At 46.0% G+C, this 9,379-nt stretch overlaps 1 long non-coding RNA gene across 1 annotated transcript; it reads right to left on the bottom strand.

Moving 5' to 3' along the window:
• Positions 1-747: 747 nt before the first annotated feature.
• LINC02667 (long intergenic non-protein coding RNA 2667) lies at positions 748-4,186 on the bottom strand. The gene is made up of 5 exons (NR_148990.1): positions 4,102-4,186; positions 2,614-2,646; positions 2,123-2,260; positions 1,854-2,018; positions 748-822 (listed from the first exon to the last, which is right to left on the bottom strand). It is a non-coding gene; the product is annotated as a long intergenic non-protein coding RNA 2667 (long non-coding RNA).
• Positions 4,187-9,379: the final 5,193 nt, after the last annotated feature.

Here is a 9,379-nt window from a genome sequence, read left to right as displayed (position 1 = left end):
TGCCTAACCCCCTTCCCTGGTCAATGTCCAAGTCTATGGATTCCTGAGAATTCTCAGGGTGGCGCCCTCCTGCTGCGGCCTGCAGCCTCCCTGCTTCAGTGACTTGCCACTTTCTCACTGGGTTTTCTCTTCCTTCTGGGCCTTTTTCCTGCTACCTCACCTGTTTCTCCCTTTTCCCTCTGCCAGTGGAGAGACCCCAGACAGAAATCTGGATCTGTTGCGGCCATAGCTGAGCAGCAATGGGTTGCTCCCCATTGCCCAGAGGGGGAACTCAGAAGATGAAGTTCAAACTGCTAAGACTGACTAAGGTCACCCAAAGGTCCCCAGATGTCCAGCTTCCTGGAGGCTCCCTTTGCTTTAAGAAAAAAAAAAAAATTGGACTGAAATGTTGCAGAAAGTCCAGTTTCCTTCCTGAGGACTTTCAGGGGTCGCTAGGGAGGCTGACATTTCCTGTCCATCTTTCACTCTTCACGGCTGTTGTGGACCTTGCAACATGGTCCTTCTTGCTGCTGAAGGCTATGGGCCTATGTCCAGCCACTAAACGCACACAAGCATTGGGACGCAGCATTTAACACACTTGACTGAATAGTTAGGAATGAGATAAAGGAATGCTAATTCTGAAAGGGGGAAAAAACAGACTTAAGATTATACATCTGGTTCCAGAACCATAGGATGCTCTGTCCATCTGTGCCCTTTTCTGGAAAGTCTCATGCCTAGAAGGGAAAGATGATGAGGCGGAGGCAGCAATTTGGGATCCTGTGTTGGCAGAGGCGTTGTAACTGTTTATTGGGGTGATATGCGACTGGCTTCAGGGTGGAGAGCCTGGAGAGTGGAGAAAGGCTGTGCTAGAACTCAGAATCCTGAGGTCAGGTTCCAGGTGCTAAGTTGCATGGCAAATGTGCCTCATTCATGTTTCTCTAACCTCCATTTCCTTATCTGAGAAATGGGAATAAAAATTCTGGCCTTACTTACTTCCCAGGGTTATGAGAATCAAATGAGAAAACACAGGCAGCTGTCAAAATATAAAAGTAGAGTATCTGCATTCACCAATTCCTTAAGGAAATGGGGGCAGAGTTGAAGGGCAGGCCAGACCCCCGTCCATGCAGACTTCACAATTCAATCCCGAGACCACAATGTGTCTAAAACATTATGAATTTAGGAAATGCCTTTTCAATATGGTGAAGAAAATAGGAGGGCCCCGGCGGCGGTAAAGCCCAGAAGAGCTGCAGCCGCTTCCGATGAAAAGCAAACCAGGGGAGAGCGTCCCACAGCGGCCCTGGCTTTGGAAACAGCCACAGCACAGAAGATGACAGCCGCCTCTGGGCTTTCACAGCTTGGGGGAATTGGAAGACTTTACTAGGACCCAGAAAACCTACTTGGTCTGGAGCATGAAGCATGGTTGGGTGGGTAACCAGGAAGGAATCTCTCCTTGCTCCCCTGTGGCCTGCCGGGGAGGCTCCCCATATGGATAAATGCACCCAGAAACCTTCTCAGGAGAGGAGCTGTAAGGGGGTCAGTGAGGCGCATGTTTTTAGGGTGACCCCTAGACCTGCGGCTGGTGACATCAGAGACCTGCTGGCTGGCAGCAGCAGCCCTGGGACAAAAACAAATGCCACCCAGCCACAGCCACAGCCAGCAAGTGGGAGCAGCGGAAGGCTGAAGAGCTGGAGGCACAGGCTGCTCCCAAGGGACAGGGACAGGCTCCACAGCCACTGTGTGACCAGGGCCCAGGTGCCTGCCACGGCCCCCAAACAGCTGAGCTACAAAGCGTGTCTCTGAAAGGAGCCCTTCCTGGAGAGAGGAGACGCGTGCATTCTTCTTTGCTTGCCCGGTGTGTTCAAGGTGCCCCGTACCTCTTTTTCCTAGGACTCCATGCCAACGAAGAATGCTGACTTGCTGCCAAGGCCCACAGGAACATTCTCCACCAGGTTGAACAACAGGAAGGCCAACTTGAACCCCGACAACTTCATAAGAGTTTCTTACAGACATGCCTCTTGGTTCCAGATAAGGTCTCCTTCCTACTGGAAATATTTATTAGCAATCTGCCAAGGAACTGGAGATTGTTCCTTAGACAGGAACTTGGCATGTCTTGGGGTGTGTCTCTGTTCCAGCCCAGAAACACCTCCAGGTGGGGATGATGACGCCACCAAGCTGGTCATCTGTAGAAGCCTCCCCACATCCTGAGGCTCTGAGCGGAGCCTGTGCCGGGCTTTCTCTGTGCTGCCGTCCCAGCCACCGCCTGCTGCTCCGGGAGATGACACTGGCAAAGATGAACGGGGGATAAAAATAGCAGGCTCAGGAATAGACTTCATTAAGCATTCGATTGTCTTTGCCCCAGATGATATTCCTGGGAATTTTGCTTCAAATTATTTTGCACTATATTTTAAAGCAAAAACAAAAACAAACCTGAAACTCATCCCAACCGATGGCTACTGGCCGACTTCTGTTTTTTTAATTCTGTATCAAATGAAAGGGCTTGAATTCCAAATGGGTTTGCAGTCAGCTTTATTTACAAATCAATTTTAAAATGGGGATATTTTGTTCCCAAATATGAATGAACTACTTAGAGCTTGAAAAATCAGAAACAAAACCCACATAGCCTGTGATACTCACTGTGTAGTCCAGCATGAAGGTCGTATAAGTTGACTTTAAATTCAAGGAAAATATGCTCCAGTTAGGATCAGTCATATGCATGTTTTAGGGCCGTTTCGCTTTTCTTTAAACTTTGCACTGTTCCCTGCCCTCTTGTTCTCATACCCACTCAAGTTCCCATCTCCACATTAAAATGAGACTTTCAGAAACTGTTCAAGAAGTAGCTTTTCCTATAGAAACTGTCAGCCTCTTTGCTCTTGTGAAGTTTCGGGTGCAACTGATTGAAAGGAAGCGTGCAAAAAAGGCTACCCACATTGTTTTGGAACAGAGAACCCAGAAGCCCCCATGGCTTGTCTCTAAGACAGCATCCACCTGCCCCGTTCTCCCTCTACTCTTGGACGGTCTGCCTATGGGAACTGCTGCATTCTGCCTCCAACACGTCCTCCTCCGAGAGGGCTTCTCTTTCTTCATCCTTTTCTGTCTTTGTGCTTTTGCCACAGGCTGGCCTTGTACTCTCTCTCCAGCCTGGAGGGCAGGTTCAAAGACTTTCTCTTTACATTTCACTTAGCAAGAATATGTCTTAAAAGCTTAACACACATTCATGCCTCCCCAGAACAATTAAATTCGCTGTTGGCAGTGTCCCCCACAAGCTAGAAGGGACTAAGATTCAAGTTAAAACCTATACACTTCTCCTAGCAATTAAATGGGGTAACTGAGAACTGGGTGGGTGTTTTTCCTTTCAAATTGAGAGCGTGTGAAACCCAAGGCTGAGCTGGGAAGAACTGGAGGCCTGGGCACATGAGCCTCTTGTGACGCACTGCCATTGAGCTTCTTTGAACCTCTGTCTCTTCATCTTTAGAAGAGGTATAGATATACCCATCAGCCCTTCTCTCAAGCCAGTTACAAGGACTGAAATGGCCTCATCTTTCTCACTGTCCCTATTCTTCACAATGTTATTAGAAATGATCTAAAGTCAAATGGGAAATTTACTGATAGTGGTTTCCTGTGAAACCAACTAAAGACGGTCAAAACAACCACCTCTCTGCAACATCTGAACAAAGACCTCATGCTATCATCACTCCTGCAAGCTTCTTTCTACAGACAGGGCAGCCCCAACCTAACCTCGTAGGATATTTTTGCTTTATCCACTACAAGAGAAGGCCTCAAACCCAGCAGCCATTCATAGGAACTTCCGTCCTTCTGTTGCACAGCTGAAGCAATGCCTTCATTTCTAGAGAGGTGCAGAGTCTGAAGCCCAGAGAGTGGGTGCAGCTCACCCAAGGTTATACAGCCAGTCAGCTGCAGGGGAGGGAGTTACAAGCAGTCAGGCCAGCTCAGGCAAGCCTCTCACTGGTGGAAGATCATATCCCAGCATAGAGGCTGGGCGTGGAGCTCCCTGATTGACATGTTACAAGGACAGGTGTGAGGGTCTGAGTCCCATCACCTGTCAGGGAGCAGAACGAGGGTTCTGTCCTCCTCCTTCCTAATTTGTTTTATCCTCACAGTCACCTTCTGGGGACAGCCTGAACTTCCCCAGCACCCTCCAGCCTTCCGCCTGGCTTTTAAGACTCTCAGTATTTAGGTTGGAGCATCTTCTGCTGTTCAACAACTGGGAATAAGTATGAGCATTCCAAGGGAGTGGTTTCCATGGCAACAACAACCTCATGGAACGTTTCAGAACTTTTACCTCCTACTCATAGTACTGCAGAAATTCAGAAAGCATAAGGCATAAAGATGAGTGCTAATTATCTGACCTGAATTTGCTGTGGTGGGCAGAAGAAAGACAAGTGCAATGCAGTCTGGCAGGCATTCCTCATTGGCACAGATTCAAATTACTTTCTGGAAGTGAATCATTGTCATATTATTATAATTTTCTGTTAGAGGTGGCACTGGGTATCAAACAGAGGTGCACTGTGGAAGGCTCAGCCTCATGACTTTGAGGGTGTAGAGTTGTTTTCTGGCACTGCCTTTTGGTCAACCTGGCAGAAATAATGATCACGTTGGTTAGGCTGTCTCTATCCCTGTGTTGTCTGTGGAGTAGCAGAATAGCCGGTGATAATTAGTTAGAATTGAAACATAGATCACTGAAGTCCTAAACACTTGGTCTTAGATGTCTGAGTGCTGAGGCTGACTAGGTGGATGGACTTTATCTCATGAGATGAAGAGCCCATTAGTCCACTTCTAGGATAATGGAATACAGATTCGAAATGAGCGTCAGAATGGCTGTGAAAAGCCATATCAAGAGATTCTCTCTTGCTCAAGACACTTCTGGAAAACACTACCTATGAAAACAAATTGTCCTCTTTCATTTCTTTAGGGCCCGTAAGGTGGTCATCTCCCTTACCTGGTACTGAAGCCAAGTGCTGTTTGAGCTGATGCATAGACTGGAAGCTACAGGCACAGACTCTAGAGCCAGAGGACTCCAGCAGAGCAGCCTTGGACAAGGTGCCCAACCTAAGTTTCCTTACCTGCAAAATGAAGATAATAATATGATCCTCCTAGCAAAATTTCAAAGGAAGTCACACATAATTTTTCAATCTATAATAATTGTAGAAAATCTTGCATTTTATAAGCATTAATTTAACAAAAATGACACAGGCAAAATGTGGTGGCTCAGACCTGTAATCCCAGCAGTTTGGGAGGCCAAGGCAGGAGGATTGCTTGAGGCCAGGGATTCAAGACCAGCCTGGGCCACATAGTGAGACCCCATCTCTACAAATAATTAAAAAGTTAGCTGGGCATGGTAGCATGTGCTTGTGGTCCCAGCTACTCAAGAGGCCAAGGCGAGAGGATCCCCTGAGCCCAGGAGGTCAAGGCTGCAGGGAGCTATGTTTGTGCCATTGCACTCCAGCCTTGGCAACAGAGTGAGGCACTGTTTCAAAAAAAGAAAAACAAAAATTGACAAAAATTGACATGGAGGTCCAAGGAGTAGCACTAGTTTGGTAGACAAAGAATTGCAGTTTGGGTACACTGAATCAGGCCAGCCCCAAAGAGTGTCCTCTCAGGCAAGCACAGGGGAAGTTTCTAACAGGAGATTTCTACAAAACGTTGTTTCTGGAGGTAGTCCATTGGCTAGGCAGAAATCCTAAATGGCAAACCCATTCTGATTGGTTAATTAGGGTACATCCAGCTAGGGGATGTTGAAGGCCGGGGATACCGACATCCCTTGTTTTTTCAAGTCTACTCGAACATTCTGTGGTTTGACCCTTAGCAGGTGTGAGTGCACTCCTCCTGCAATCTCTGACTCCACTTTAGGAAACCTTAGCCTTAGTTACTTCATTTTCTTTTGCATAAGCCATCTTTTTAATCTGTACTTTTTAGCTTGAAATTTTACATTTGAAATAATTTATAATCAAGAAGTGAGTGTGAAGACAGACCGAGATTTGATTTACGTGTTTAGACTCCACTCTAAAAAGCTGTAGCATCAGTTACATGCATTCTTACAGGCTATGTTGCCATTACAGCTTATTAACTATAACACAAATTGTGACATATTCACCATAAAAGGGCACGTGTACAAAACAATTTGGGTTAAAATCAGGTGCTTGGAATGGCAGCGACGTGTCTGCCTTCCCTGGACCCTTCCTCACCAAACTTTCATTCTTGCTCAAGGATGTTCTTTCACTTTGGCCCTTAAATGGTTTCTCACTGCTTCCTAATTCTATCTTTTCCAGTGAGACATGAGAATAATCGAAGGCATGGATTATCATCGATATGCCTTTTATGCCACTTCCATTCATTCAACAGATATCATTGTCAGACCCAGCATTTGTGTCTCCTCAAATTCTCTTGTCCACAACTCATGACCCAGGACCTTGGACTACTTCCTGACCCTCATAATTCCCATGGTCACATGGGTTTTGCGGGCAATGTTGTCCAGCCATCTGGGACAGACGCATCCAGTAGATAGGCCTTGAACTTCAGGGTTTGCAGTCTGGCTTCCTCAAGTGATGAAACCCAGAAGTAAAGAAGTGTTAATTTCATGCCGGGAGCCTTTTGACCTATGGGAGAAGTAGACAGGGGATGGGGAGTCTACTAGTTCATTCTCACACTGCTATAAAGATACTACCTGAGACTGGGTATTTTATAAAGAAAGGAGGTTTAATTGACTCACAGTTCTTTATGGCTGGGAGTCCTCAGGAAACTTACAATCGTGGCAGAAGGTGAAGGGGAACCAAGGCATGTCTTACATGGTGGCAGGAGAGAGAGAGAAGGGGAAAGCGCCAGACACTTATCAAACCACCAGATCTTGTGAGAACTCCCTCACTGTCACGAGAACAGCATGAGAGAAACCACCCCTATGATCCAATCACCTACCACCAGGTCCCTCCCTAGACACATGGGGATTACAATTTGAGATGGGATTTGGGTGGGAACACAGAGCCAAACCATATTAGAGGAAGAAGTTCCTCTCCATTGCTCCATTCAGCAGATTACTCTGTGCATAGCTTTTCCATACAAGCTGTCCCGTGACATCCACCTGTCTTCGAGAGTCACCTGTCAAGTGATGGCCCGGTAGCTGAGCATTCACTGAAAGCAGGCCAGAGGTGTAATACATCACCTTGTTTTTGCTTACCACTTACCTCTAATTTAATTCTCTCTTCCCTCACTCTTGCTGCCCTGGGATTTCACTTTTCTGTGAAACATTGGCACTCATGCCTTGCTTCAATCATTTTCTAGGGAATCTAAGCTAAAACAAGAATGTACATATGTTGCAGGAGCTGTAAGCGTTGGGGTAAATGGGTCAACAAGAAAGGCAGGACCTGTGCTTTGATGAACCCTACATCTCTGAGGGTAGACAACAGACTTTCTTGAGTGAATGCAAGCTGGCATGTATTACAGCTAATGCAAAGGGATAGCTGATTTTAAGTAGCTGAAGAGAAATTAAGAAACAAAAGAGAGTGTCAGGTTTCTAGTATTTTGACAACTGATTTTCAGCATCAAGTAATCAGGTTATGTAGTGAGGTGATTGATGGGGCCAAGGAAACCACAGCAGGCTCCTGACTGGCATCCTACAAGGGAGGAGGCTGCATGTCTCACTGTGGCTGCGGGAAGATGCCCTGGGGCGATCCACCTCCAAGTGGGACTTATAGGCAAATTTTTGAGCTAACTCAGAGGTTATTTGGAAAGCTGAGATGGAGCTATCTGTGCCCCTCCCCCACTCCTATAACATGCACACACGTGCACAGACACACCCAAGCACACACACAACACAGGCGCTTGATGTCATGTATTCATCCAGTGCTATGGGAGGCCTGTCGACCACTGCACCACAAGTCATCTTCACGGCCGCAATCTTTTGTACACAGAGTAGCCAGGGAAAGGGGGCTGCATACTGGATGGAGCTTCAAGTTCCAGGCCACCCTCAGCCTACTGAGAATAGAGGGCTTGGATCACCAGGGCATTTATCTGCGGGCACACGGAGGACCTGTCCTCGTGGCCTTGGCTAGCTAAGCCAGCTTCTCATCCATCAACAGCATGCAGGAGCACTCCAGGGCCTTCTCACCCAGTACACAACTCAGTATCAGCACCCACAACTACAGAAGCTTGTTTCCAGGGATGCTTGGGTGGGGGTGGAGAGACAGAAAGCTTCAGTAATTTCTCCACCGTTGACAAACACACAACTTGAACTCATTTCAGACCCTGCCTAGCAGTACCCTCCTGTGATATTGCAGTCCAAAAGCCCTGCTCTACCCAGAGAAACCACTAGGCAGGTGAGCTCGCAGGAGCAACTACTGATTTACCAATTAGCATGACTGTGCAGACCTAACAAATGATGAGGTAGAAATGCCTGCATGGTAAGGTCTTAACCTTTTAGGTTGACATTAAATTGGAAGAAACTGCTCGCGTTAGAAATAATTACTGCTGATAATGAATACAATTAAGCATAAAAGAATCTTTATAACTCTGGTACCATTTGTGCACTTAGAAATCGGCTCATATTTTTCCCTTCACAGATGTTACAATAATGGTGTCAACACTTTTATTTCTTTGTCCATAAGCTGAAAATTATGGCTGTTTCATAAATTGCTAACGTGCTCAGAAGATGGAGGCCCAGCTGCAGGGCACATGAGTTCAGACTTCTGCTAGAGCCTCATGTTTCACAATGACCTCAGTTTCCTGTGCTGAATGGGAACCGATGCGAGTAAGTACTTGTAAAACTGTTTTTGAAGAGTGAAGTTATGAAGAGGTGCTGCGTGTCAAACATCTGCTTCATCCATTACACTCAGCTAGGAGCTGGGAATGTACAGTAGGGGCAAGACGCATCAATAAATTAAAATTCTCCTGTGAGCACACTTTCTAAGTGTGTGCCAATTTGAGCCATGAAAAAAAAAAGATGCTAAACAAGAAAAGGGAAGTTTTTTTGCTCACTTTACCAGAGCTGGCTTGGGTGGCAATCACTATAATCTGAGTTTCTTTATGTAACTGATGGGTTTCTTTGTCAACTCATATGCAGCATTCCATGGTTGATGTGTATAATTTAGAGGCTACATAAAACAACGAGGCTCCCATTCCTTTGAAAAGCCATGTTCATTTTCCTCAACGATATAATCTTTAGAATACTTTGATGATATAATCCTCAAAAGACTAGAAAGATGGAAGAAAATAAAGTGTCATTCTAGCTAAGTGTGTAGGTTACAGATGGCATAAATACTCCAATGGTTATTTATTGTCTGGAATTCAATACTGTTAATTATGTTAGGTTACGTCACCGTACCTGGAACAGGAAATTTCTCAAAACTGATGCATCCATTAGTGAAAGAACAATATGTAGAAACGCAATGGG

The sequence above is a fragment of the Homo sapiens genome, chromosome 10 (assembly GCF_000001405.40).
Source record: "Homo sapiens chromosome 10, GRCh38.p14 Primary Assembly".
NCBI classification, from domain to species: Eukaryota; Metazoa; Chordata; class Mammalia; order Primates; family Hominidae; genus Homo; species Homo sapiens.
This window is presented reverse-complemented; position numbering and strand designations above follow the sequence as displayed.